Here is a 25,848-nt window from a genome sequence, read left to right as displayed (position 1 = left end):
AAGGAACTAGAATATGAACCAGACACAGATGCACATGGCTGCAGGGAGCTTCTAACTTAATCATGGAGATCAGATTTGTTTATGAGGAGCCCGGTGAGGAGTCCAAGGCCATGTCTTTAAGATTTTAGGAAAAAGGGAGGGATCAGAGTGGACAGGGCAGTCACCCTATGATCCCCATCACAGTCCCCTTCTGTCTGCCATTCATAAAGGAAATGGCATCTCTTTGTGGGCCTGGAGATCACCTATTAAACATGTGCACCTTGGCCAGATGTCTGTTTGCCATTACCTGAAACTGCTACCAGAGTGGCCCCTCTTCCTCTGTCCTCTGGTGACTCAGACTCGAGGAGCCACTTCTGTGGATGGTAGATCCGATTTCAGTGACTTCAGCGGTGGCTAGGTGTCTGCTGAGTCTGAGAGGGGAACAGATACCAAGCCCCAAATCTTCCTTGCAGGAAGCCAGATGATTCTGGTAGTAAACCACTGGTCATTCAGGCATGAAATAACCTCAAGGCCAATTCTTCAGCAACACAGAGCCTCCTGAACTTCACCTTGTCACTTTGTCCAAGTTGCAGGAGCCATCAGGGCAGAGGTGGTGTTCAGCAGGAAGAACATAGCCACAGTCTGTCGCAGAGGAGGTTGGAAGGGGTGGAGGCTGTAGTATGAGGCCCGTCCAGACACAGTGAGTTCTGGCTGTATGCCTGGAGGCAGTCAGACATTCATACCCTCTATGAACTGGTGGCTCAGGTGGGAAGATAAGAGATAAGAGGAAGTATCTGTGATAAAACCAGAGAACATATTCAATGCTGACCCTCAGCTCTATAAATATTCAGAGTAAGGAGAGAGCTCCCATTTTGGGTCCTAGGATCATGGTGAATATCAGTTTCTACATCTGTAAACTGAGGGGGTCACTCTGTGGCTATGTCTAATATTAGCATTGTATTTAACAATTGGATCTGGACAGGGCAAGGTGGCTCACATTTGTAATCCTAGTGCTTTGGGAGCCCAGGGTGGGAGGACCACTTGAGCTTAGGACTTCAAAACCAGCCTGGGCAACAAAGCAAGACCCCATCTCTACAAAAAAACTTTAAAAATCAGCCAGGCCTGGTGGCTCATGTGTGTAGTCCTGGTTACTCCGGAGGCTGAGGTGGGAGGAATGCTTGAGCCCAGGAGTTTGAGGCTACCATGAGCTATGATTGCACCACTGTACTCCAGCCTGGGCAACAGAGTGAGACCCTGTCTCTAAAAAAGAAAAAGGAAAAAAAAAAAAAAGAACTGGAGGCCAGGTGCAGTGGCTCACATCTGTAATCCCAGTACTTTGGGAGGCTGAGGTGAGCGGATCACCTGAGGCCAGGAGTTCAAGACCAGCTTGCCCAACATGGTGAAACCCCATCTCTACTAAAAATATAAAAATTAGCTAGGTGTGGTGGCAGGCGCCTGTAATCCCAGCTACTCAGGAGGCTGAGGCACGAGAATAGCTTGAGCCCAGAAGGCGGAGGCTGCAGTGAGTGGAGATCATGCCACTGCACTTCAGCCTGGGTGACAGAGCGTGACTCTGTCTTAAAAAAAAAAAAAAAAAAAAAAAAAAAAGAACTGGCTCTGCAGAGGCTTCCAGTGGAGGTGAGGCTGGGCCTGAAGTTTGGGAGCATCTGGTTTAATAATTAGGGGTGTGGGGTGAGGTGTGGAACCCAAGCGGTGTCTCCACAGGCAGGAACAGCCCTGAATTTGGCCACCCTCAGGGCTGTTCCTCATGGAGCCCAGGCATGGCTGTGAAGCTGGACCTGAGCCCTGCATCTGTTACTAGGAAGGGGAGGGTGTGGAGGAGCTCTTCTTGGGGCAGGGCAGGGTGAAGACAACTGTTCCAGGCCAGCAGGGGCACAGTAAAGAGGATGGCAGAGCCCCATGCAGAGATCAGATGGGAAAGGGAGACAAGGTTGTGTTCTGAGGACATTCTTGGATTTTATGAAAAGACTTTAAAAAACCCCCGAAACCCAGAAACATTTTCTTGAATTTTCACCTCAGCTCATCATATCTCTGCTCTTAGCAAGTGTGCCCGATTTAATAAAATCAGTACTGGCAGCCAGCAGCATGTTTTTGTTCTAGAAACTTAGACTACTTTTTTTTTTTTTTTTTTTTTTGAGATGGAGTTTTGCTCTTGTTGCCCAGGCTGGAGAGCAATGGCACAATCTGGGCTCACTGCAACCTCTGCCTCCCGGGTTCAAGTGATTCTCCTGCCTCAGTCTCCGGAGTAGCTGGGATTACAGGCATGCGCCACCACACCTGGCTAATTTTATATTTTTAGTAGAGACGGGGTTTCTCCATGTTGGTCAGGCTGGTCTTGAGCTCCCGACCTCAGGTGATCCACCCGCCTCAGCCTCCCAAAGTGCTGGGATTACAGGCATGAGCTACTGCACCCGGCTACCTTAGACTGTCTTTTACAAAATAAGAGGAATGGCCAGGCATGGTGGCTCACGCCTGTAATCCCAGCACTTCGGGAGGCCGAGACAGGCAGATCACGAGGTCAAGAGATTGAGACCATCCTGGCCAACATGGTGAAACCCTGTCTCTACTAAAAATACAAAAATTAGCCGGGTATGGTGGCGGCCGCCTGTAGTCCCAGCTACTCAGGAGGCTGAGGCAGGAGAATCGCTTCAACCCAGGAGGCGAAGGTTGCAGTGAGCCAAGATTGCGCCACTGCACTCCAGCCTGGGTGACAGAGCAAGACTCTGTCTCGAAAAAATAAAAAAATATAAAAAAAGAGGAATAAATGAATAATAAGTAAAACAGTACAGAAAGGTTATAAAGTCAATAGTAAGTCTCTACCCTCACCACCCCATTCACTTGCCCCTCAGCACCCCACCCCTCAAAAAAAAAAAAAAACCCACTCCCTAGAGGTAAATACTATGAACCATTTTGAATCTGTATAGGGCACCAACAGGAGCCTGTGTGGTGTGTACTCTCAAGCTTCTGGGTAAAGCTTGCTCTGGGTCTCTTCTGGGCTGAACCTTTTCCAGGAAGGGGGAAGGGAGAAGGGACCGCAGCTGTGGTGTGGCAGAGGCAGGCACAGGACCCTTCCAGAGAGGCTTCTCAGGGTCCCGGGAGGGTGATCAGCTGCCCTGCTTCAGTCAGGCGTCACCGGCTCGCCTGCCGGCCCCTGGCCCGGATTTTCTCCACTGTGTCTAAGGGCTTTTTTTCACCTTCTCAGGATCCCTCTGTGACCCAGCTGACCAACGCCCCGCAGGGCGGCCTGGCGGAATTCAACCCCTTCTCAGAGGTTGGTGAGCAGGCCCTCTTTCCAAGTCCCATGGCCCTCTAGGGTGGTGCTGGGGTGTCCGGGGCAGGGATCCTTGGCAAGGACAGAAGCAGCTCTGAGAAGCGGCAGTCCTCAAAGGGACAGTCCTAACATGAACCCGGGAGGCAGGGTAAGGATGGCAAAGCCACCAAACGCTCTGTAAAATTCTCCCCTTGGGATCTGTGACCGGGGCCCCTCCCCAAGGAGGTCAGGGCAGTGCCCAAGTGTGCTGGACCCAGCGAGCCCAGGGGTGCCGGGTTAGGGATCAGATGGCCTGAACCTGAGGCTTGTTGGCTGGGAAGCCACAGGGGAAGGCCCAGTGCAGGCCCCGAGGGAGTCCCCTCACAGGCAGGGGCACATCACTCATCCTGCTGTGGGTTTGCCCCCTCGTCACCAGCTAATGGAGTCCCACTCAATTCTGTCTTTTGATTTGTTCCATGTAGACAAATGCAGCGACAACAGTTCCTGTCACCCAACTCCCTGGGTCCTCACAGCCAGCGGTTCTCCAGCCATCAGTGGAACCAACCCAGCCGACCCCCCAGGTAGTGCTGACAAAGAACTCTGGCCTTTTCTCTCCAGTGAGGGAATCATCCAGACCAGTAGCTGAGCCCTGAGGCTGGGGGCAAGCAGAGAGCTTTCAGCCTTGGCCCCCTAAGGGCCCTCTTGCTAATTTGTTCGGAGCTGGTCACCTACAAGTAGAGGGGCTGCTCTGCCAATTAATATCCTTACTCCCTCCATCCCACCCACCACCACCACTGAGAAATAAGCTCTACTCACCAGGCCGGGCTCCTCGGTGCCTCCAGAGAGGGCATTTGTCCCTGTTGTACCCCTCCAGGTCCTCCTCGGGCCTTTGGCTTGTTCTCTCTTCCTTGGGGCCCAGAATCTCTCTCTTTTTTTTAACTTCATTAATTCTCACCTTCCTTCCTGTCTTCCTTTGTCCCTTCACCAAATACTGTGAATCTTGCCTGCTTTGTGCCTGGTGCTCCACTGCGCCGCCTCACTGCCCTCCCGCTGCACCCCTCGCTGCCCCTATGAGCGTGACCCATGGTGGAGTTGTGTGTTGCAGCTCCTGCTTAGACAGGCCAGCAAGTTCCCGCCTGCCCAATTCCTGGCAGTGAGCGAGCTCTCAGAGAGGCAGATGCTCCTAGGAGGAGAAAGTATTCTCAGAGACAGCTACATGCGAAAGCTTCCGAAGGTAGGCCTAATGTAGATGAGCAGGAGGAAGGGCAGGGCACCCGGAGCCTGCCCCACACCCCTCCCAGGCCCCAGAGCCCTGTGGAGGTGAGGCAGGCCTTACATGCGGAGTTGCCTTTCTGTGCAGCTGGGTGGTGGGCTGTAGGGAGCTGGGTCCTTCTCAGCTGGCGTCACAGACTTGGAGGAGGTCAAGACCCCCAGCGTGGCACAGCGGGGTCAGTTCTGCTCCTGCTTCCGCCCCCAGTGCCTGAAACTTGGCTCTCCACGTCAGCCTTAGGTCTTTGAAGAGCTTTTGGAGAGGTTGGTGTGTGTATACATGTGTGTGTGTACACATGTGCCTGGTTTGTCATCCTGTGAAATGACCAGTTTGAGATCTCTCCCTAAAAAGGACTGTAGTCTCATCCTTCAGGAGGAACCTGGCCCAAATGGCAGCAGCTGCCAGCAGGTGCAGGGCCCCGGGGCCAGGTCTGTTCAGCCTCACATACAGTCAGTCCCTTACTGTTACTCAGAGGCTCTACCCCGCCTGGAGAGGAGATAAGTGTGGACTCTGCATGCCACTAAAGCCAGGCAGGGCAGGGCCACACCTAAGGGGCTGTCCTGGGGTGTAGCCAATTGCAGTTTAGGGGGACCTCAGGAGGCAGCTCCTGGGGGCAGGCCATGGGGCAGGGTGCTTGTACAGATCCTGAGGCTCAGGCACACGCCATCTGCCTTCACGTGTCTCCCCTTTCCACTCACTGTTAGCAGGCTTGCACTGTTTTCCTTCTCACACATCCACCAGGCTCTTCAAATGAGGCTTGGGTCTGTGGGTTTCTTATTATAGTTTAGTTTCTTGTGAGGTCTTTTTCCCAAAGGTCACAATCACTGAGCGCTGCCTTGACCCAGTATGGGGAAGAGGTGGAGAAGCCAATGGGGGTAGTTTTCCCAACTCAAGCTTAGGGATGAGGGGAGAGGACAGCTTAGTCATGGCCAAGGGGTCAGGAAGGTGTGGGGGCAGTGGAAGACAGGTTGGCCTCTCTAAGGTGGTCTCTGGTACCTAAGACACTCTGTGGGGCGGGGACTGCTTCTGGGACTCCTTGATGGCTGTCCCTGCCTGGGGCAAGGCCTCTCTGCCTGCCTACCCAGGCTGACACTGTTTCTGTTTGTTGTGTCTGGCTGTCCCTGTACCTCCCCTGTTCTCTCCAGGCCGTGGTGTCTGCAGCCCAGGCAGGCCTGCTCCGGCAGCAGGAAGAACTGGACAGGAAAGCTGCCGAGCTGGAACGCAAGGAGCGGGAGCTGCAGAACACTGTAGCCAACTTGCATGGTAAGGGAGGCTGCTGGGGCCTGGGGCTGCCCTGCCTGGCATAGAAGAGTGTCCTGAAACCTGTGCGGAGGGCCTCCCAGCATTCACCCTGAGCTGCCTTAGAGTTTTGTGGGGCTCTTCTCATCACAGGATGCTGGTCCTGGGAAGAGCAGTAAGTTGCAAGTCAGGAGACCTGCAGTGTAGTTGTAATGGCTGTAGATTACTTCTGCACTCCTTCCTAGCTCTCAAATTCCTTGATTCTTTGATAGCATAGGGGCTTTGGTCCCACAATTCCTTGCTAATGATGATGAACTGAGTTCTCACACTTATGGGCTGCTTGTTAATAAAAATAATCACTTAGGCCATTTAGCTGTCTGTATTTCCCAGTGCATTTGGGGTCTTTTATCTCCATGTGAGCTTGTTGGTATCTCTTTGGGTTCCATTATCCTGTTCTGTCCCACTCCATGCTCCATGCAGACTCCAAGCCCCGCTTGCTGGAGCCCCTCTGGGAACCCTGGTTTGGCCCATACACTATGCTGGCGTGCATGCACCTTGATGCCCCTTCTGAGGCTGGGCCCTTACCTCGTCACTCTTTTTGCCCTACCCAGTGAGACAGAACAACTGGCCCCCTCTGCCCTCGTGGTGCCCTGTGAAGCCCTGCTTCTATCAGGATTTCTCCACAGAGATCCCTGCCGACTACCAGCGGATATGCAAGATGCTCTACTATCTGTGGATGTGTGAGTCCCACTCCTGCCTTCCAAGCGCAAGGGCGAATTGGGTGTGACTTGAGAGCCCCATCTTGGTCCTGGCTGCTCCTCCCTGGTATACAGGCTTTCAGCAGACTCCAGCCTTCCTCAGTGCCTGGGCTGGGTTGGGGAGATGCCTCTGCCCACAGGCTGCCCCCTGTCTGGAAACCTCCTTGAAAGGGGCAGTCCAGACCACCGATCAGGGAGGGTGGGACTAACTAGAGGCTTCCAAGTTCCTTCAGAGCTCACTGCACTAAAAGGCCCTCCTTAGGTGAAGGCCTTCCCTGCCCACAGGCCTGTGAACTCTGAGGGGTGAGGAAGGAGACTCCCCCTGCAGCTCCATCAGGGGCCATCCAGGGCCAGGGAAAAGCATTGCTAAGAGAAAGACTTCCTTCCCCAAGGACCAGCCCTGGGTCTGCATCCTCCCTCCACACCCCTCAGATACCCGGGCTGTCCCATCACCTCTCAGGAACGTAGTTTGATCCCTGGTTTTGAGGTCCCAGAAAACCAGGATATGGGAACTATCCCTGCCTAGGTACAGAGCGGGCTCCTCTGTTTCAGCAGCTGCCTTCGCAGCATGAACCTCACCTCTCCTAGGGAGTGGCTGCCACATTGGAGCCCCTCAGCCACTGTGGCACAAGTCATAACTCTGTCCTGTCCCCTTCCCCAGTGCATTCAGTGACTCTGTTTCTGAACCTGCTTGCCTGCCTGGCCTGGTTCTCGGGCAACAGCTCCAAGGGAGTGGACTTTGGCCTCTCCATCCTGTGGTTTCTGATCTTCACTCCCTGTGCCTTCCTTTGTTGGTACCGACCCATCTATAAGGCCTTTAGGTGAGTGAGGCCGGGGCAAGGGGTGAGACTTTATGGCTGGCATCCCAGGTAGCAGGCTAAGGGCTATAGGCCCTGGGACCCCATCTGAGTCTTAGAGCAGAATAGAATGTAGGGAAATCCACTTTCCCTACATTCTGTTCCTCTGTTCCCACCCAGAGCAGAGATTGGGGGCCCCGTTCCTCAGTTTCTGTACCTGAGGTCTGCTCTGGGCCCTGTCCTTGGACCAGGCACAGGAGACCTAGAGAAGGGACCTCCCATCCCACTGCTCCCAGTCTGGCTGATGCCGTTACTGGGAAGAGGGAGGGGACGCTCTTTGGGAACTCCCTTCTGAGGCTCTAAGGTGTGCTTCTCTGGTAGTATCAGATGAGTGCTCTCCAGGGCTCTTTCTCCATGACTATTGATGCTTCCCAATAAAGACTGCCAACACCTAAGCTAGATACTGGGAACATAGCTGGATACACCTTACAGACCCCCAGGGGTTCTGGAATTGTACCTCAGGGTTTATGCTTTCAGGGCTGGGAGCCCAGCAGGCCCTGGGAAGAGGGATTAGGGTAGTGGCTGAACCATCCCTGTACCACTGGAGGCCCTGAACCCTCACTGTGATCTAGCCCTCAAGGACACAGAGATGGAAGTCCTCAGCTCGTGAGAGAGTTTTGTCTGGTGTCCCCTGTTTCCCAAATATTTTTTTCTTCCAGTCAGATGTACAGGTTTTGTTTTTTTCTCATTGTTCTTTGTTACCACGTATCCTCAAGTTCTATTGTTTTTGTTTTGAGAGGGAGTCTCGCTCTGTCACCCAGGCTGGAGTGCAATGATGCGATCTCGGCTCACTGCAACCTCCTCCTCCTGGGTTCAAATGATTCTCCTGCCTCAGCCTCCGGAGTAGCTGGGCTTACAGGCACACACAATCACACCTGGCTAATTTTTGTATTTTTAGTAGCGATGGGGTTTCCCCATGTTGGCCAGGCTGGTCTTGAACTTGTGACCTCAAGTGATCCACCTGTCTCGGCCTCCCAAAGTGCTGGGATTACGAGTGTGAACCACCGTGCCCAGCCTGTTTTGTTTTTTTGAGACAGAATCTCAGTCTGTTACCCAGGCTGGAGTGCAATGGCGCAGTCTCGGCTCACTGCAACCTCCGCCTCCCAGGTTCAAGTGAGTCTCCTGTCTCAGCCTCCCAAGTAGCTGGGATTACAGGCGCACACCACCACGCCCAGCTAATTTTTGTGTTTTTAGTAGAGACAGGGTTTTGCCATGTTGGCTAGGCTGGTCTCAAATTCTTGGCCTCATACAGTTTTATTATTAAGAGATTTACTTAGTTTTACTTATTATTAGAGATTTTACTTATTATATAGAGATTTACTTATTATTAAGAGATTGGCTTAGTTTTTCTTGCCTGTTATGAAACGCAAGTACTCCAGGAGATGGAGTGTTAGGTTCTTTGTTTTTTATTTACTTATTTTTCTGAGACAGAGTCTTACTCTGTCACCCAGGCTGGAGTGCAGTGGCGTGATCTTGGCTCACTGCAGGAGTGTTAGGCTCTTTATATTGTCCTTTGGGGGAGCAACTTTATCAGCTCTTTGAGGAAGGGGTCAAGCACTGACCCCTTAAATTGGAAGGCAGTGAAAGGCAAGCTCTTCTTGATTATGGTGGGGGGTGTGTGCGTGTCCTTACGGGTGGTATGGCTGGGCCCCTGGAGCTCTGTCTCTTGCCCATGCTGCCTCCTGGCTCCTAGTGAGGAGGGATGTCACACCAAGTAAGGATGCTGAGGAACACAGCCCAAGCCCTCTTGTGACTTATTTCCCTCTCTCTCCACAGGTCCGACAACTCTTTCAGCTTCTTTGTGTTCTTCTTTGTATTTTTTTGTCAAATAGGGATCTACATCATCCAGTTGGTTGGCATCCCTGGCCTGGGGGACAGGTGAGACCTGGGCATCACAGAGGGAATTAGGCTTTGGATATGGGACTCAGCCTCTCTTGCCCTGTTTTCTAGCTCCCACAGAGCCCCGCCAGTGCCCTGCTTTTCCCATGGCGGGGAGTGGGTGAGTGGGCCAGCTCGGATCTGCTTTGGGCCTTCTCTCCAGTTCTTCATCAGTAGCCACTCACTTTTTTTTTCTCCTTGATACTAAAGGCATCAAAAGACACTCACTATTGGTCAGGTGCAGTGGCTCATGCCTGGAATCCCAGTACTTTGGGAGGCCGAGGCAGGCAGATTGCTCAAGCCCAGGAGTTCGAGACAGCCTAGGAAACACAGGAAGACCTTGTCTCTACCAAAAATTAAAAAAATTAGCCTGTTGCAGTGGCATGCACCTATAGTCCCAGGTACTTGGGAGGCTGAAGCAGGAGGATCACTTGAGCCCAGGAGGTTGAGGCTGCAGTGAGCCATGATTGCACCACTGGACACCAGCCTGGGTGACAGAGTGAGATCCTGTATCAAAAAAAAAAAAAAAAGACACTATCTTCCCTTGCTCTCCACTTTCCAGGGTATTGTGGGTGAACTTGGCTTGACTCTTTAGGCTACCATGACAGTGTCCTGCACTGGATTGCAGCCTCTTCCTTTTCTCCTGCCACACCCTCCTGAAAGCTGATGGATGCCCAGGCCTTTGCAGACTCTGAGCTGCAACTTTTTCCAGATGCCTTGTAACTTAAGGAGACGGTTCCCTCACCTCCCCTGGACAGGCTTCTTCTGGCTGCCCTCTTTGAGCATACGGCTGGTTTGAGTTTCCAGGGTACCTCAGTCCTCAGCTCAAAATTAATCTCAAAAGAAAAGCTGATGGCTGATGTTTTCCTTTCTGCCCCAGTGCACAGGGAGCATTGCAGAAAGGTCAGACTGGCACTTGGCTGACAGCCTGAGCCTGGAAGGGCGGTGCTATTTTGGTCCCCTCCCTCTGGCAGAGCTGGCAAGTCCAGAGCAGTGGGGAGAGAAAGGTTGCCTCCCCTTGCCCTCCAAACAAGTGCACGCTGCCCTCCCACCACCCCTCATGCTTCTTGCCCTGCTGTTGTTAATCTGGTCCCTTTTGACCAGTGACCCAATTTCATTACTCCTTACCTAAGTAAGACCCTGGTAGAAAAGCTGTGATTCATGACTGCCGTTTGCACCTGTACTGGGAATCAGAAGGCTTGAGTTGGCTGGGTGCGGTGGCTCATGCCTGTAATCCCAGCACTTTGGGAGGCCAAGGCGGGTGGATCACCTGAGGTCAGGAAGGAGTTTGAGACCAGCCTGGCCAACATGGCAAAACCTTGTTTCTAGAGAGTACAAAAATTGGCCAGGCGCATTGGTAGGTGCCTATAATCCCAGCTACTTGGGAGGCTGAGGCAGAAGAATCACTTGAACCCGGGAGGTGGAGGTTGCAGTGAGCCGGGATCACACCACTGTTCTCCAGCCTGGGCTACAGAGCAAGACTCAATCTCAAAAAAAAAAAAAAAAAAAAAAATTAACTGACAATAGGTGTATGGGTTTATTTCTGGAATCTCAGTTCTATTCCATTGATCTATTGATCTATATGTCTATGTTTATGCCAGTCCTACACTATTTTAGTGACTGTAGCTTTGTAGTAAGTTTTGATGTCAAGAAATATGAGGATATCCCTTTTACAGATGAGGACATGGGGCTCAGACAGGTGACAGCAAGTTGGCCAGTGATCCTCCTTCACAGAAGGTGGGTCCTCAGGAGTGAGCAGCCACGCTTTCCATACTCCCCACCCCCAAAGCAGCAGAAAAAGGCCCGGCCCAGTGCTACCTTTTTAATTAATTATTTTTTGAGATGGAGTCTCTGTTGCCCAGACTGGAGTGCAGTGCCGCGATCTCTGCTCACTGCAAGCTCCGCCTCCCAGGTTCACGCCATTCTCCTGCCTCAGCCTCCCGAGTAACTGGGACTATGTAGGTGCCTGCCACCATGCCTGGCTCATTTTTTGTATTTTTAGTAGAGATGGGGTTTCACTGTGTTAGCCAGGATGGTCTCGATCTGCTGACCTCGTGATCCGCCCATCTTGGCCTCCCAAAGTGTTGGGATTACGGGCTTGAGCCACTGTGCCCAGCCCTTTTTCTTTTTTCTTTTCTTTTTTTTTTTTTTTTGGAGACAGGGTCTCACTCTGTTGCTCAGGCTGGAGTGCCGTGGCGTGATCACAGCTCACTGCAGCCTTGAACCTCACGGGCTCAAGTGATCCTCCTACCTCAGCATCCCAAGTAGCTGGGAGCATAGGCATGTATGACCACAGCCAGCTAATTTTTTTTTTTTTTGAGTTGGAGTCTCGCCCTGTCACCTAGGCTGGAGTACAATGGCATGATCTCGGCTCACTGCAGCCTGCACCTTCCAGGTTCAAGTGATTCTCCTGCCTCAGTCTCCCGAGTAGCTGGGATTGCAGGCGTGTGCAACCACGCGCAGCTAATTTTTGTATTTTTAGTAGAGCAAGGTTTCTCCATGTTGGCCAGGCTGGTCTCAAACTCCTGACCTCAAGTGATCTGCCTTCCTTGGCCTCCCAAAGTGCTGGGATTACAGGCACGAACCTGGCCTTTTTTTATTTTTTATGGAGACAGGGCCTCCCTCTGTTGCCCAGGTTGGTCTTGAACTCTTGGGCTCAAGCGATCCTCCTGCCTCAGCCTCCCAAAGTGCTGGGATTACAGGTGAGAGCCATAGCACCCAGCCCGGTGCTACTTCTGACTCTGTGAAGGCAGCAACCACATCCTCCCTTTCAGACCTCACATAACCAGAAGATTCCCCTTGTGAATGGGGTAGTGTGGGCCTGTCAGCCTTCACGGAGGTCTGGCCTCACAGGCCAAGGGCTTCTGGCTCACAGGGCTCCCTGTGCTGTGGGGAGATGCCAAGGTGATGGTCAGGACACAGCAGCCACTTGGAGAAGAGCCCCTTATGCTGACTTTTGGAGCCCACTCCCACTTTGCTCCCTCTGGCCTCTTCTTCCCTTTATAGCGGTTGGATTGCAGCCCTGTCTACACTGGATAATCATTCCCTGGCCATATCAGTCATCATGATGGTGGTGGCTGGCTTCTTCACCCTCTGTGCCGTGCTCTCAGTCTTCCTCCTGCAGCGGGTGAGTGGTGTGGGCAGGGCTGACAGCAAATGGGAGGAGGCAGGCAACCGTTTCCTGCCCTTGCCACGAGATGTTTTTCACCACTGCAGTTGGGCATCCTAGGCCCCCAAAGGTCCAGTACCTTTCTCCAGGGATCTGGGTGGGGGGTCAGGCAGTGCCAGGCTTCTGGTGACCCCTTTGGGAGTATAACCTGGATGGCTGGCTTCCTGGTGGGCCCAAAGGACAGGCTTCTCTCACCCCACCCCTCTTCGCCAGGTGCACTCCCTCTACCGACGGACAGGGGCCAGCTTCCAGCAGGCCCAGGAGGAGTTTTCCCAGGGCATCTTCAGCAGCAGAACCTTCCACAGAGCTGCTTCATCTGCTGCCCAAGGAGCCTTCCAGGGGAATTAGTCCTCCTCTCTTCTCTCCCCCTCAGCCTTTCTCTCGCCTGCCTTCTGAGCTGCACTTTCCGTGGGTGCCTTATGTGGTGGTGGTTGTGCCCAGCACAGACCTGGCAGGGTTCTTGCCGTGGCTCTTCCTCCTCCCTCAGCGACCAGCTCTCCCTGGAACGGGAGGGACAGGGAATTTTTTCCCCCTCTATGTACAAAAAAAAACAAAGCTCTCTTTCCTTCTCTGGTGATGGTTTGGTAGGATTCTTTTGTCTCTGGAAGCAGTGGGACTGAAGTTCTCTTCGTCCTGTGCACACACAGACACCCCCACACAGTTGGGATCACAGGCTGACCTGGGCCCATCCCAGCTGGAGCTTTCTGCCAGGGTCCTGGGCCTTGACTCCCCCACCCTGCAGGCCTGGCCTGAATCTGGCTTCTTAGACACAGCCCAGTCCTTCCTGCCTGGGCTGGGAATAAGCCTCTCACAGGTTCTGGTGGACAGATCTGTTCCCCAGGTCACTCCAGTGGTCTCCAGGCTTCCAGAGAAGGCTGGTTGCCTCAAGCTCTTCTCTGCCTCATAAACGGATCCAGAGAAGGCTGGTTGCCTTAAGCTCTTCCCTGCCTCGTGTTCCTGAGAAACGGATTAATAGCCCTTTATCCCCCTGCACCCTCCTGCAGGGGATGGCACTTTGAGCCCTCTGGAGCCCTCCCCTTGCTGAGCCTTACTCTCTTCAGACTTTCTGAATGTACAATGCCGTTGGTTGGGATTTGGGGACTGGAAGGGACCAAGGACACTGACCCCAAGCTGTCCTGCCTAGCGTCCAGCGTCTTCTAGGAGGGTGGGGTCTGCCTGTCCTGGTGTGGTTGGTTTGGCCCTGTTTGCTGTGACTACCCCCCCCCCTCCCCGAACCGAGGGACGGCTGCCTTTGTCTCTGCCTCAGATGCCACCTGCCCCGCCCATGCTCCCCATCAGCAGCATCCAGACTTTCAGGAAGGGCAGGGCCAGCCAGTCCAGAACCGCATCCCTCAGCAGGGACTGATAAGCCATCTCTCGGAGGGCCCCCTAATACCCAGTGGAGTCTGGTTCACACCCTGGGGGGTGTGTCACTGTGATGGGACACGTAGGAGTCCACCCTTAAAACCAGCACCCTGTCCCTCGAGGCTGCCGAGTGGGTGTGTGGACTGGGGTGCCTTCCCACAAAACTAGCCTCCGGCTCTGGGCCCGAGACAGCCGCAGGCCCCAGCCACTGAATGATACTGGCAGCGGCTGGGGTTTTATGAACTCCTTTCTGGTATTTTTTCCCCTCTATGTACAAATGTATATGTTACGTCTCAATTTTTGTGCTTAAGTAAAAATAAAAACATTTTCAGACAACACGGGTCCACATGTCTGGTGGACTTGGGAGGACGGGGCAGCCCACAGGATTAGGGGCTGGGCGCCGCTGCTAAGATTGGAGAGCGGGGACAGTTAAGATGCAATAAATAGGTCAAGGCCCTTCCTCAGAAAAGTGAAAAGCAGCTGGGAGGCCTGGGAAGCCAACGCGGCCTCTTCCAAAGGCGCCTTCTCGTGCCAGTAGCTCTCCTTTCAGAGCTGCGGGTCCTGGGGAGGGGCCCTGGGAGCCTCCCGGACGCCGTCGCCCCCACACACGCCCGCTCCGCCGCCCGCGCCCTCACGTGGGCGATCTCTAGACGCCTCTGCGCCCGCTAGGAGTCCCCGGAGACCACGCCGGCCGTCCTCCGTTGTTAACTTCTAGGCTCGCGGGGCCTCCGTATCCCCACGTGGGCCCTGCAGGAACTGGCGGGGCGCGTGACCCGGCGAGGCCCAGAGACAGGGGAGGGGCGCCGGGAGCCGGGCGGATCCGCGTCCCCGATGCGCGCTGCATTTCCGGCGGGCGGCGCTGGGGGCAGCGTGGAGCCACCCAGTGCTCGGCCCGCCCCGCAACCCGCCGGAACCGCCGCCCGCAGCGAGGAAGCGCCCGCGCGGGCGCAGGCGGCCGGAATGGCGGGGCCCGGCTGGGGTCCCCCGCGCCTGGACGGCTTCATCCTCACCGAGCGCCTGGGCAGCGGCACGTACGCCACGGTGTACAAGGCCTACGCCAAGGTGGGTGCCGGCCGATGGCCCCGTGCCCGCCCGAGCTAGCTCGGCTGGTGCCGGCCGGGGAGACTCTGAGAGGTTAGCGACAGTGTGGGAATAGTTAGGGGCGGGAGGCCGGCCTCGCCCCAGCTGACCCTCGGCGGAGGTTGGAGCCGACTGCCACGCTTAGGTCTTAAAGAGCGCACCTGCACCCACCTGCAGGGTCAGTGGCTGAAGAACAGGCTCAAAACAGGTTACCTGGTGGGCTGGGAGGAGTCTGGGACTGGAGCCAGTTGGGAGGCAGAGTGGGCGGTTCTAGAACCCTGAGTGACATGCCTCTGCCGGGAGCACTCCAGAATGCAAAGAAATGGATCAGCTAGCCGAGGGTTGGAGAAGACCAGGCTGAGGCTGTGTCGGGAAGCCAGGATTCCAGAATCAGCATTCCTCACTGGCCTCACAAGGGAAAGCTGGGAAGCCCGGTGCTGGTGTGCAGTAGGTAGACCCGGGGAGGGGCGGGGTGGGGGAACAGAGGGAACCAGATAGAGCCTTTCCAGTCAGACAAGGGTCCTGGCCCCCTCAAGGCAGAGTCCCCAAATCTCCTGTCTCGCAGAAGGACACTCGTGAAGTGGTAGCCATAAAGTGTGTAGCCAAGAAAAGTCTGAACAAGGCATCGGTGGAGAACCTCCTCACGGAGATTGAGATCCTCAAGGGCATTCGACATCCCCACATTGTGCAGCTGAAAGACTTTCAGGTGTGAGCCTGGGGCGGGGCCGCTGCCAAAGGGAGCTGGAGAAGGGACACTCTCTTCAGGCCGCCTCTCTGCCTCTAAACACAGTGGGACAGTGACAATATCTACCTCATCATGGAGTTTTGCGCAGGGGGCGACCTGTCTCGCTTCATCCATACCCGCAGGATTCTGCCTGAGAAGGTGGCGCGTGTCTTCATGCAGCAATTAGGTAAAGGCCTGTGACACCAGCCTGACACTCTGTCCCTTGTTCTCTGCCCCCCACCATCCCACCCCTCCCCCAGGCTTAGAGCCTTGGCACGCATTGCAGCTGCCTCCTGCACAGCCTGAAATTTTATGGTCCTGTTTATCTCATACACTCAACCCTTGCTCAAGGACGCTGTGGGAGAGATGAGGGGGTAACCCCTCTGTGGGGTGTTCAGGCTTCCATACATAGAACATAATATAAGGACCTTGTAGAACATTCCAGAGTCCTGTAGGTAGGACTCAAGTGCTGTGCCAAGGAAAAGAGCAGGATCTCAAGGGCTGGGGCATCCAGAGAAGCTTCTGAGAGGTGGGGAGACTTGTGAAGGGGCAGAGGGAAGGAGGGTGGGCACTCGGGTGGGGTGGCAAACTCCTAGAAGTGGTGTGATCTTGGTGCTTATATGGAAAACATTAGACCAGCCAGGCAGGAACTGGGGTTGTGCAGGCTTGAGGAGGCAGATGTGAGCCGGGGAGGCGAGAGGCAGGCGGGAATGGGCTCTGAACTGTCTCTCTTCGTGGGTCCTGCTCCTCAGCTAGCGCCCTGCAATTCCTGCATGAACGGAATATCTCTCACCTGGATCTGAAGCCACAGAACATTCTACTGAGCTCCTTGGAGAAGCCCCACCTAAAACTGGCAGGTCTGTGTCTGAAACAGCAGGGATGAGGTTTGGAGAGTGCAGAGGCCTCCCTCTGCCTGGGCTCACTCAGCAGCCCTGGTTCTTATGGAGCCCTCTATAGAGTCCTCAAAGAGTGACAGGCCGTGAAGTCTGGGGTTGGGCCCTGTCATCAAAAGGTGGAAGCTTTCTCAGGCTACCCATGCTCAAGTCCAGCAGCATAATGGGTGGAGTTAGGGCTCAGTCTGTGGCCAGAGTTGGGACTCACTGTGTGTCCAGGTTTAGGGGTCAATCTGGGAACAGTGCCAGGGTTCAGCGTGTGACAAGCATCAGGGATCCCTCTGTGGGCAGGGACAGGACTTGGTCTGTCATCAGAATTGGGGCTCAAGTCTGTGACTCCATCTGTGGCCACATAGGAGGGGTGTGGTGGGGGAGTAGGAGGTGGTGACCCTTGATAAGATTTGGATAATTGACACTGGAGGCCAGAGACTGTGATAGAACCTAAGCCTGGGGGGACAGTGAGAGGGTGGGGGCTTATGCAGGTAGCTGGTGTGATCAGGTGGGCTTCCTAGGAAAAGGTGCCCAAGGGAGCTGGGAAGGATGGGTAGGTTTTATACCCCAGAGGCAGATATAGGAGGGTGTTCCAGCCTAATGATGAGCAGAGGCTTGGAAATAGGGTTGATCCTGGCGGGTCTGGAGGGTGGAGAGGAGCCTGGGGTGAGGCTTTACAAGTCAGGAGCTGAAGCAGCTGGAATTCAAGCCCTGCTGCCTCTCCTCTTGCCTGCAGACTTTGGTTTCGCACAACACATGTCCCCGTGGGATGAGAAGCACGTGCTCCGTGGCTCCCCCCTCTACATGGCCCCCGAGATGGTGTGCCAGCGGCAGTATGACGCCCGCGTGGACCTCTGGTCCATGGGGGTCATCCTGTATGGTGAGACCTCTTTTCCCTGCTTCTCACCCTGAGGCCTACAGTTTCCTCAGGCAAGGCCTCTCTGGGCCACTTCTGAAGGGTTCTGATGAAAACTGACTGCTGGCCCAGGGCCCCTGCTGAGGGGCGTCAGGCCAGGCTTGACCCATTCCCTCCCAGCCTCCGCTCTGCCTCCCTTCCACAGAAGCCCTCTTCGGGCAGCCCCCCTTTGCCTCCAGGTCGTTCTCGGAGCTGGAAGAGAAGATCCGTAGCAACCGGGTCATCGAGGTGTGTCTAGCAGGGCCTTAGCGACCACTGGGGGGCAGAGGGAGTCAGGGCCCTGAGGGTTTAGACCTCGTTCTGACCTGCAGAGACTGGAGTATGGGCTCCAGGCTGCCTTTGTGGTGGAGGGGCAGGTTCTAGGCTGGAAGTCGAGGTGCCAGGCTGTCCCAGGGCCTCAGGTCAGCCCACAGCTGGCAGCACAGTGCCCATTTTGCAGGCCCTTGTGGGGAGAATGCAAAGCAGAGCCAGGCCCAGCCTTCCTAGGAGCATAGTCCAGGGAGGGAAATAAGGACCCAGAAACACGATTCTAGCTCAGCTCAGGGCTCCAGCGAGGGTGCACCGGGAGCCCAGGGATGGAGGCCTCGCTCCCCGCTGGCTCCATCATCCTGACCCATCCTGTTCCTCCTCGGTCTCAGATTCCCCACCTGTCCAACGCGTACCTCTGGGGTTCCTCGCAGACCCCTGGGCTAGGGGTAGGGGTGGAGGAGCCCAGTGTGATCTGTCCCTGCCGTTCCCTTCCCTGCAGCTCCCCTTGCGGCCCCTGCTCTCCCGAGACTGCCGGGACCTACTGCAGCGGCTCCTGGAGCGGGACCCCAGCCGTCGCATCTCCTTCCAGGACTTTTTTGCGCACCCCTGGGTGGACCTGGAGCACATGCCCAGTGGGGAGAGTCTGGGGCGAGCAGTGAGCAGACGGCTGGGGCTGGGGTGGGCTGAGGGTGGGCTGGAGGTCTCCTTGCCCCCGTTGGTGGTGAATTGGTGACTCACCCAACAGAGACAGAGGGCGGGCTCAGGGGAGCTGATCTCCCATCTTGGTGAGTGTGGGAGGGTAGGGAGGTGGACCTGACCCCTGATCTGCCCATCCCCAGACCGCCCTGGTGGTGCAGGCTGTGAAGAAAGACCAGGAGGGGGATTCAGCAGCTGCCTTATCACTCTACTGCAAGGCTCTGGACTTCTTTGTACCTGCCCTGCACTGTGAGTCCCAGGCCATGCCTGAAGCCCGTGGGTGCAGCAGGGATGGGAGTCATCTGTGGCTGCAGTAGGTGGATTCCAGAAGTTCTCTATCTAGAATTTTGTAGGCGATAAAGCAGAGCGTAAACCTGGAATATTGTGTTTTGAGGGATTCCAGAGGGTTCGTTGTGGGGCAGGGAGGGGTTCGCCCAGACTCCTCATATGACCTCACTTTCTGCAGATGAAGTGGATGCCCAGCGGAAGGAGGCAATTAAGGCAAAGGTGGGTGAGAGTCCCCATGAGGAAGTGGGGGGGCAGGGGGTAAGGCCCGGAGATCTCGGGGGCCTCTGGGGAATGGCTCTCTTAGAATTGGAACTTCCTCTCCTGCAACACAGAGCTGGGAATGGGTCAGGCCAGCCACATTTGCCCCCTGACATGTTTATAGCTTGAGGCAGTCACTAACAATGCAAAGGGAGAACTTGGAGGTGGGTTCTGGCAAGGGTAGCTGGTGAGACAGCCCCTCCTCAGGCCCTTTCCCTGCTACAGGTGGGGCAGTACGTGTCCCGGGCTGAGGAGCTCAAGGCCATCGTCTCCTCTTCCAATCAGGCCCTGCTGAGGCAGGGGACCTCTGCCCGAGACCTGCTCAGAGGTAGACTCCGGTTTCTGGCTGACCCCAGGGCCCCCAGCAAACCTCCCCACAGCCTGAGGGGGAGGCGGGTGGGGAGAGGCATCCTGCAGCGAACAGGCAGGTTGCTTCCCTCACCCTGAGCCTTTCCCCTCATCTCAGAGATGGCCCGGGACAAGCCACGCCTCCTAGCTGCCCTGGAAGTGGCTTCAGCTGCCATGGCCAAGGTTTGTGCCAGTGGGAGGGGTCCAGGTGGGTCGGGGCAGGGCAGGGAGATACCCAGGCCATGACCCTAAGCAGCCTGGTGTCCTTGTGGCTGCAGGAGGAGGCCGCCGGCGGGGAGCAGGATGCCCTGGACCTGTACCAGCACAGCCTGGGGGAGCTACTGCTGTTGCTGGCAGGTGAGGGCCCCCATTTATGCCCCCCACAGGGCCTCTGGCCACCCTGTCCTCACCACACACCCTCTCTTTACAGCGGAGCCCCCGGGCCGGAGGCGGGAGCTGCTTCACACTGAGGTGCCCACTGAGCTTGAGAGGGTTGGGGGGCTTCCTCTTCCCCTTTCTCTGCTCTTACCTGTGGGGACCTCTTTGGGTTCCCTCTGGAATGTCCCACTGTCAGGGTGTTCCAAGTCTGGAAGTCAAACCATAGGGCTGGGGTGCTCAGACAGGGCAGTGGGGGATCTGGGAACCCAGCAGCAAAAAGTCTGGGAAGGCTTCCTGGAGGAAGGAGCAGATAAGGGACTCAGGAGGCAAGTTGTTCTGATGGGGCAGAGGGTTCTGGAGAGCATCAGGGGTGAGGAGGAGTTCCCTTTGAAACCCCACCCCCCGCCACTCTCCCCCACACCCAAGGGCATATCTTTCCTTGGCAGGTTCAGAACCTCATGGCCCGAGCTGAATACTTGAAGGAGCAGGTCAAGGTGGGCACATGGGGGCCACGCTGGGGCTAGGGTCTGTGGGTTCTGTTGCTCTCTGCTTGTGGCTGTCGTCCCCCCCTGCTGGTGTATGTCTGCTCTCTCGCCTCCTCTGCAGGCCTCCCTGTCCCTGTATCTGCCCTTCACTCTCTCTCTTGCTCGGCACTGCGCTGTGGCTCGTGTCCCCGTCCTTCACTCTCTCACTTGCTCGGCACTGCGCTGTGGCTCGTGTCCCCGTCCTTCACTCTCTCACTTGCTCGGCACTGCGCTGTGGCTCGTGTGTCTGCCTCTCATCCCTTGTGCTGCCTTCACATCCCACAGATGAGGGAATCTCGCTGGGAAGCTGACACCCTGGACAAAGAGGGACTGTCGGAATCTGTTCGTAGCTGTGAGTCCTGCCCTGGGGTCGATCCTCCATCCAAGGAGGGGTGAGGGCTGGGGGCCCTGGGTTCTGCCTCCCTTACCAAAGACCTGAGACTGACCCTCCCCCATTGTCCCCCTCACCCCCGTAGCTTGCACCCTTCAGTGACCCTAGAAGAATGATTGGACAGATGTGAGCCATCTGGAGCAGAGGGGCACTAACCCAGGCTGACGCCAAGAATGAAGTGGCCCACTGCAGCCCTGGCGAGCAGGCTTCTTGGATGGACAGTGCTGAGACCCCCATATCCCAGAGTCCCCAGCCTCCCTCAGGTTACTCTGCACCCCACAGATGGTTTGATGGCTGTGCTGTATACTGGAGGGGAGGGCAGGACTCTGGGAGAACAGCACTTCTTTCATGAGACCTTTGTTACTCGGTGGTTACTGGGTCCTGTGCCTGTCCGTTTTGGGGCATGCAGCCCTCTATCATTTTTGGCTCCGAGAAGAGGGCAAGGGGCCCCCGCAGGGTACTTCTGTGCTTGCCCTCGCCCTGCCAGCAGGCAGCTGTGCCCCTGGCCTGCCCTTCCCGGGACCCCTTATTCCAACTCAGCTCCTCTTTGCACTGGAATGGGGCACTCCAACACCCCTCAGGGACCACCCTCCCCACAGTATGCACTCAGCCCCACAGAACCCACCAGTCTTTCTGGGAACTCACACCTGCCCGCCATCTTGGTACTTTAGGTTAATCCCTCAAGCATGAAAGCTGGATCTTTTGGGGTTTAAGAAGCCCAAGCCTTGTTCCTGCCCTGGCCTAGGGAGCACTCAGGAGGGTTCCTTGGTCCTCATCTCTCCCACCTCCGTTCCCTCTGGGCCCCACACTAGCCACAGCGCGGGCCTTGTGCTGGAGTTTGAGCCTGGGACAGGGAGAGGGAGGCTTGGAGACAGTCTGACCCAGTGCCCTCTAGGCCACCCACTTCTAGGCCTGCCCTGCCGCCGTGGAGCCCTGGGCAAGCTCTTTCCCCTTTCTGGGCCTGGGTCTCCCCATCTCTTCAATGGGGCTGATACCTTCACAGCCCACAGCATGGGCACTTATGAGGACAAAGTGAATTTAACCTGGAAAAGAATGTATTTGAGAGTTTCTTTTAAATAATCAGCGGGTGTTGGTGATTTGTAGCCCTTCTGCCCTTAAATGCTTCCTTGGGCAAGAGCTGTCTGTCCTCCCTGCAGGAGGCTGAGTGTAAAGAGTATCATTCATTGTTTCTCTATTAAATTATTTTCTCTATTTGCGCGTCTCTTCTTGCCTTAAGAACGACAGGAGAGGTGGCCGCTGCCCACAGGCTGGGGCAAGAAGGACTGCAGCAAAAGCTGCGGAAGCTGAGGTAGGGCCGGAGAGGTCGCGAGATGGAGGGGAATGCTGAGAATGATAGCCACATCTGCCCTCAGCCCCCAGAGATCCAGGAGAAGGGCTGACCAGGGTCATTGCTGCCCACACCCAGGCGACCGGTGGGGAGAGGAGCACAGGCCTGGGAGCTGGGAAGGCTCAGCTCCAGGAGTGCAATCTTCCACCATGCTCTGCCCTCCACACCGCACACTGTCTCACCCCAGACAGGATCTCTTGGCTTCCTTCCCTCCCTTACCCTGGGCCACTGAGGGAGCAGTGAGCTGGACTGGAGGAAAGGGCATGTTTTGAGGTATCATGCTCACACCCAGCCCCCAGGGTCTCCATTTCCAGCAGGCTCTGTACCCTGGCCTTCCCCCAACCCCACGTACACCCCAGGTGTCAATCTGATCAGCACTTGTTGGGAGTAGGAGGGGAGCACATCCCCTGGCAGCCAGCAGGGGAGCAGTTCCTTAGACTTACCCATGCCCCCGGGTTGCTCAGTCATCCCAGGGTTTCCCATACCTGGATGGGAACAGACCCTGGGAACTATTCTCCCTGAAGCCCCTGGCCTGGCCATCGGGGGGCAGTGTGGAGCAGTGTCCCAGAGGGCAGGAGGAACTGCTAGAATTCTGGCTCTGCTACTTGGCCTTGAAGTTTAGGATCCATCGATGAGCCTATTTCTTCATAGAATGAGGTTGAGGATAAGGGCCCCATGTGTAATGAGATGTTGCACATGGGCATGGCATACAGTAAGAATACAATAAAATGTGACTTTCAGATCTAAGGAGAGAAAGGTACTTCAGATTATCTCTGGAAATGGGCCAGACAAAAAAGCCTCAATATATAAAGTGAGGGAACAGGAGGGGAATGAATGGACCTGGTTGAGTGGATGAATTGAGAAGATGGGAGGGGCTGGGTGCGGTGGCTCACACCTGTAATCCCAGCACTTTGGGAGGCCAAGGCGGGTGGATCACGAGGTCAGGAGATGGAGACCAGCCTGGCCAACATGGTGAGACCCCATCTCTACTGAAAATATAAAAATTAGCCGGGCGTGGTGGTGGGCGCGTGTAGTCCCAGCTACTCGGAAGGCTGAGGCAGGAGAATCACTTGAACCTGGGAGGCGGAGGTTGCAGTGAGCCAAGATCGGGCCACTGCATTCCAGCCTGGTGACAGCGAGACTCTGTCTTAAAAAAAAAAAAAAAAAGAAGATGGGAGGAAGAGTGGAAATGAAAGACGAGATGGAAGACTAGAGAGAATTGAAGGGCAATAGAGAAAGGGTTGGCCCATCGACTCCAGTTGCTTATTTGTGATCACTATATTGGCTGGCTGAGAACAGAGGCCTGAAGTTCTTAGGCAGGTAGGTGTGGAGAGCAGTGGGCCCCCACAGGGAGGATTCAGTACTCGAAAGGCCTGGGGACTGAGGCTGCTGGAGGAGCCCCTGGGAAGGGGCCCTTCTTGAATAAAACATCTAGATGGTCTCTAGGTTGGTCCTGTGTCCAAGCCGCCTGCCAAGCAGGGAGGCAGCGCAGTCCGGAGGCTGGGGCGAGGGGGGCAGGGCTTGCTTCTAACGGCAGAGGCCTGTAGGAAATGCGCAGATCCACTTTCTAAAGGTCATGTTTTCCTTCAGAGGAGGCAGAGTTGTTTTTGCCTCTCACTTTCAACACTCTGTAGGTGCCCAAAGCAGGATGGCTACCTCCTAGCAACGTTCAGGGGACTGCCCTGTCCTCCTACCTCCATCCCAGTCACCCAAGCACAGAGCCAGCCCTGGGCCAAGCTGGGGGAAGCACCCAAGCCTTCTCCCACGGGGCCAGCCCTGGAAGATGCAGATGGGCCTCAGAAGCAGATAGAGGGACCCAGGTGTCCAGCTGGCCCTTCTTTACCCTCTTTACCTGGGATGTGGGAAAGGACATAGGACCTTTGTTCCTGCGGAAGGTCATCTAGAAGGGCTTTTGTCCCCAGAGGCCGGGTTGCTGTCCCAGCCCTCCCTGAAAGGGCAATGGCCCAACACCGAGGCTGGGGCCCAAGGGAAGGAGCACACCAATGACAGCTTCCCCAGAGGAACTCATACTACACCTACACACAGCAGATCCCACAGACACAAGACAGCCGTGTGCAGGCTCACAAACCCCCGCAGGCCCCACACACACGCTCATGAGCACACATGCAGGCGCAGCTCCTGCTGAATGAGGCTGAGGCTGCCTCAGTGCTGCTGCTGCTCCCCTGATCTCAAACCTCAAATGGCCTCTGGGGACAGCTCTGCCTGGCAGGCATTGGGTTGGAGGCATGGCAGTGGACCCTGTAACTACACCCCCAGCCCCACCTCAGGTCTGTGGGATAGAGGACAGAAGCTCCAGCCTCACGGCTGAGTGTCAGCTGGGTCAACAGGCAATGTCAGCAGCTCGGCTCAGCTAACAAGCATGTCCCAGGTGTCCTTAGCGCCTGCCTGGGGCCTCCGGTGTCTGAGGAGGAACCATCTGGCTGTTGAGGGAAGAGGAGATCCTCCATGCTGCAAACCCTGGTCACCCTCCCCAGTTCCTTCCTGGGGACCAGCTGGCCTTGGGAAAGTCACTTGTTCTCTTGGCACCCTCTTCCTGCTGGCAACTGGGCCTGAGCTGTCCGGGTGGGTAGAAGGTAGGAGCAGGGGACTGCAGGCTCCTTGGGCAGGGTTTCCCTGAAATCTGCATTGTGGAACCAGAGCCCCTGAGGGTGAAAGGTGGTGGGACAGGCAACCATCTCTGCCTCTTCCCTCCTGCTGAAGGGGTTTGGGGAAGTTGGAGGGGCTCTCTTAACTACCTTTTAACATTTCCTGTATGCTCAGACTGCCTGCAAGGGTATGAAGGAGAAAGGAAAGGGGAAAAGGAGGGAGGGAGGGAAGGAAGGAGCAGGCCTGAAACATCAGAGTCCTAACTACGGGGTACTAACGGGGTTCTAGGCAGAGGGTGAAATGGGAAGTTTTGGTGGCAAATGACTCTGTGGCCCTCACATCACACCAGGTGGGTGGACCAGTCACAGGACAAATATGTAAATATCCTAGTTAGACATTGGATTGTCTAAATAAGAGAGGGTGGGAACAGCTTGGGAAGAGAGTAGTAGTTGATGTATTCAGGGCTCGAGGGCTTGGGAGTTGGGGGGCAGGTGCAGAAGAGCTCCAGTTGGGCCAAGTCAGCCCCCAGCTGCGGGCAGATACAGGACAGGCACTGAGCCAGCAGAGCAGCAGGGCATGAGGGCACACAGGTGAGAGGGGTGCAGACTGACAGAGACCCAGATTGCAGGGCTGATGGGGAGGGGGAAGGAAGAAGGGAGGCCAGGCATGCCCAACAGAGCCAGGGACCCCTCAGCCTACCCTCATTGTCCATCTCTATCTGAGCCCCACAGCCTCCTCCACCCCATTCCAGGGATAGTGCAAACTGGTCAGGGCTTCTTGGAGTTCCGCTCCCAGGGTGAAGGGGAAACTAATGTGGGGGCTCACCCCTCTCCCGACCTTTAATCCAGGTTCCAACCAGCCTTGCTTTGACAGGGTTCAGCGAGTGCAAGTTCCCCAGCCCCCACTGCCCACCACCCCTGCCTCTCCTTCTCGGCCCTGCGAAGCACTGAGGGGGAAGGGGTCTGTCGAATCCCATTAGGCAGAAGGCCCCGGAGGGCGGAGTGCTGACGTGGGCCTTGCTGCTGATGCTGCGGAGGCAGCCCATGACCCCCCTACCCGGCTTGGGGCTCTGGCTTGGGTCTCCTCCAGCTCTGAGAAGGTCAGGAGGAGGCCCTGGCCTGGGGGCAGCCCAGGAGCAGCTCAGAGGCCCAGGCCCATTCCCTGGGGACACTCAGGAGAGTGAGACCAAGAGTGACAGCTTCAGCAGCAGACTCCAGGGCTGGGCCTGTGTCTCTCCCTGCCCTGTCTCCTCTCTTCCAGCCCCGCATGATCTCCTGTACAGGTTGTATATGCCTTGTTTTTATTTTACAAAGGAGACCTCATGGAAACTTTGCCCTTGAAACCCAATCCTCAGACAGCCGCTCCTGCCTG

General features: G+C 55.8%; 2 protein-coding genes and 1 non-coding gene across 19 annotated transcripts in view, besides 10 other annotated features; all 3 read left to right on the top strand.

The window, feature by feature from the left end:
- The window catches only part of SCAMP2 (secretory carrier membrane protein 2), a 29,636-nt gene extending 15,514 nt beyond the window's left edge, over positions 1-14,122 (top strand). Inside the window, exons 2-10 of one of the 2 annotated variants that reach the window (NM_001320778.2) lie at positions 3,203-3,271; positions 3,733-3,831; positions 4,356-4,484; positions 5,666-5,783; positions 6,371-6,499; positions 7,179-7,338; positions 9,151-9,252; positions 12,259-12,379; positions 12,635-14,122. In NM_001320778.2, coding sequence (NP_001307707.1) covers positions 3,203-3,271; positions 3,733-3,831; positions 4,356-4,484; positions 5,666-5,783; positions 6,371-6,499; positions 7,179-7,338; positions 9,151-9,252; positions 12,259-12,379; positions 12,635-12,769 — 1,062 coding nt within the window. In that variant the 3' untranslated portion in view covers positions 12,770-14,122. The remainder of the gene's footprint in view (positions 1-3,202; positions 3,272-3,732; positions 3,832-4,355; positions 4,485-5,665; positions 5,784-6,370; positions 6,500-7,178; positions 7,339-9,150; positions 9,253-12,258; positions 12,380-12,634) is intronic. The other variant, NM_005697.5, reaches the window with a different exon arrangement.
- Positions 50-99: an enhancer, noted in NCBI's record as "active region_9812". NCBI's record gives its function as "activates an Ori minimal core promoter by ATAC-STARR-seq in GM12878 lymphoblastoid cells {active_cell/tissue: GM12878}" and the evidence as "EXISTENCE:reporter gene assay evidence [ECO:0000049][PMID:35858748]".
- Positions 450-509: an enhancer, noted in NCBI's record as "active region_9811". NCBI's record gives its function as "activates an Ori minimal core promoter by ATAC-STARR-seq in GM12878 lymphoblastoid cells {active_cell/tissue: GM12878}" and the evidence as "EXISTENCE:reporter gene assay evidence [ECO:0000049][PMID:35858748]".
- Positions 540-649: an enhancer, noted in NCBI's record as "active region_9810". NCBI's record gives its function as "activates an Ori minimal core promoter by ATAC-STARR-seq in GM12878 lymphoblastoid cells {active_cell/tissue: GM12878}" and the evidence as "EXISTENCE:reporter gene assay evidence [ECO:0000049][PMID:35858748]".
- Positions 1,396-1,465: an enhancer, noted in NCBI's record as "active region_9809". NCBI's record gives its function as "activates an Ori minimal core promoter by ATAC-STARR-seq in GM12878 lymphoblastoid cells {active_cell/tissue: GM12878}" and the evidence as "EXISTENCE:reporter gene assay evidence [ECO:0000049][PMID:35858748]".
- Positions 14,197-15,108: an enhancer, noted in NCBI's record as "H3K27ac-H3K4me1 hESC enhancer chr15:75135085-75135996 (GRCh37/hg19 assembly coordinates)". NCBI's record gives its function as "activates a minimal SCP1, AML or CMV promoter by ChIP-STARR-seq in naive H9 embryonic stem cells {active_cell/tissue: H9 hESC(naive)}" and the evidence as "EXISTENCE:reporter gene assay evidence [ECO:0000049][PMID:30033119]".
- Positions 14,215-14,934: a silencer, noted in NCBI's record as "silent region_6659". NCBI's record gives its function as "represses an Ori minimal core promoter by ATAC-STARR-seq in GM12878 lymphoblastoid cells {active_cell/tissue: GM12878}" and the evidence as "EXISTENCE:reporter gene assay evidence [ECO:0000049][PMID:35858748]".
- On the top strand, positions 14,696-21,734 carry ULK3 (unc-51 like kinase 3). Of its 16 annotated transcripts, none has more exons than XM_017022068.2 (17): positions 14,696-14,848; positions 15,178-15,313; positions 15,432-15,572; positions 15,657-15,777; positions 16,343-16,447; positions 17,211-17,354; positions 17,536-17,618; positions 18,139-18,294; positions 18,479-18,584; positions 18,802-18,842; positions 19,107-19,209; positions 19,348-19,412; positions 19,508-19,586; positions 19,660-19,700; positions 20,054-20,095; positions 20,417-20,483; positions 20,608-21,734. In XM_017022068.2, the coding sequence occupies exons 2-17, from the start codon at positions 15,179-15,181 to the stop codon at positions 20,622-20,624; spliced, it is 1,446 nt and encodes a 481-aa protein (XP_016877557.1). In that variant the 5' UTR covers positions 14,696-14,848; position 15,178; the 3' UTR covers positions 20,625-21,734. The 16 variants fall into 16 exon arrangements, 12 of the variants coding, with proteins under 12 accessions (XP_016877557.1, XP_005254346.1, NP_001271294.1 ...); XM_005254289.3 differs by having other exon boundaries at positions 20,054-20,101; NM_001284365.3 differs by lacking the exon at positions 15,178-15,313 and having other exon boundaries at positions 15,734-15,777; positions 20,054-20,101.
- Positions 15,177-15,702: an enhancer, noted in NCBI's record as "H3K4me1 hESC enhancer chr15:75134491-75135016 (GRCh37/hg19 assembly coordinates)". NCBI's record gives its function as "activates a minimal SCP1, AML or CMV promoter by ChIP-STARR-seq in naive H9 embryonic stem cells {active_cell/tissue: H9 hESC(naive)}" and the evidence as "EXISTENCE:reporter gene assay evidence [ECO:0000049][PMID:30033119]".
- Positions 17,145-17,210, top strand: MIR6882 (microRNA 6882). Its single transcript, NR_106942.1, has one exon. It is a non-coding gene; the product is annotated as a microRNA 6882 (primary transcript).
- Positions 18,179-18,326: a silencer, noted in NCBI's record as "fragment chr15:75131867-75132014 (GRCh37/hg19 assembly coordinates)". NCBI's record gives its function as "represses an EF-1alpha promoter that drives an FKBP-Casp9 reporter gene in an ReSE screen in K562 erythroleukemia cells {active_cell/tissue: K562}" and the evidence as "EXISTENCE:reporter gene assay evidence [ECO:0000049][PMID:32094911]".
- Positions 20,810-21,386: a silencer, noted in NCBI's record as "fragment chr15:75128807-75129383 (GRCh37/hg19 assembly coordinates)". NCBI's record gives its function as "represses an EF-1alpha promoter that drives an FKBP-Casp9 reporter gene in an ReSE screen in HepG2 liver carcinoma cells and K562 erythroleukemia cells {active_cell/tissue: HepG2 | K562}" and the evidence as "EXISTENCE:reporter gene assay evidence [ECO:0000049][PMID:32094911]".
- Positions 21,986-22,055: an enhancer, noted in NCBI's record as "active region_9808". NCBI's record gives its function as "activates an Ori minimal core promoter by ATAC-STARR-seq in GM12878 lymphoblastoid cells {active_cell/tissue: GM12878}" and the evidence as "EXISTENCE:reporter gene assay evidence [ECO:0000049][PMID:35858748]".

This window comes from Homo sapiens, chromosome 15 (assembly GCF_000001405.40).
Source record: "Homo sapiens chromosome 15, GRCh38.p14 Primary Assembly".
Lineage (NCBI taxonomy): Eukaryota > Metazoa > Chordata > Mammalia > Primates > Hominidae > Homo > Homo sapiens.
This window is presented reverse-complemented; position numbering and strand designations above follow the sequence as displayed.

Excerpts from the sequence above, each read along its gene's own strand:
- ULK3 (XM_005254289.3), top strand. The coding sequence starts at position 15,179 with ATGCAAAGAAATGGATCAGCTAGCCGAGGGTTGGAGAAGACCAGGCTG. Across the intron at positions 15,778-16,342 it reads TGTCTTCATGCAGCAATTAG|CTAGCGCCCTGCAATTCCTG; the intron begins GTAAAGGCCTGT and ends CCTGCTCCTCAG. Across the intron at positions 16,448-17,210 it reads GCCCCACCTAAAACTGGCAG|ACTTTGGTTTCGCACAACAC; the intron begins GTCTGTGTCTGA and ends TCTTGCCTGCAG.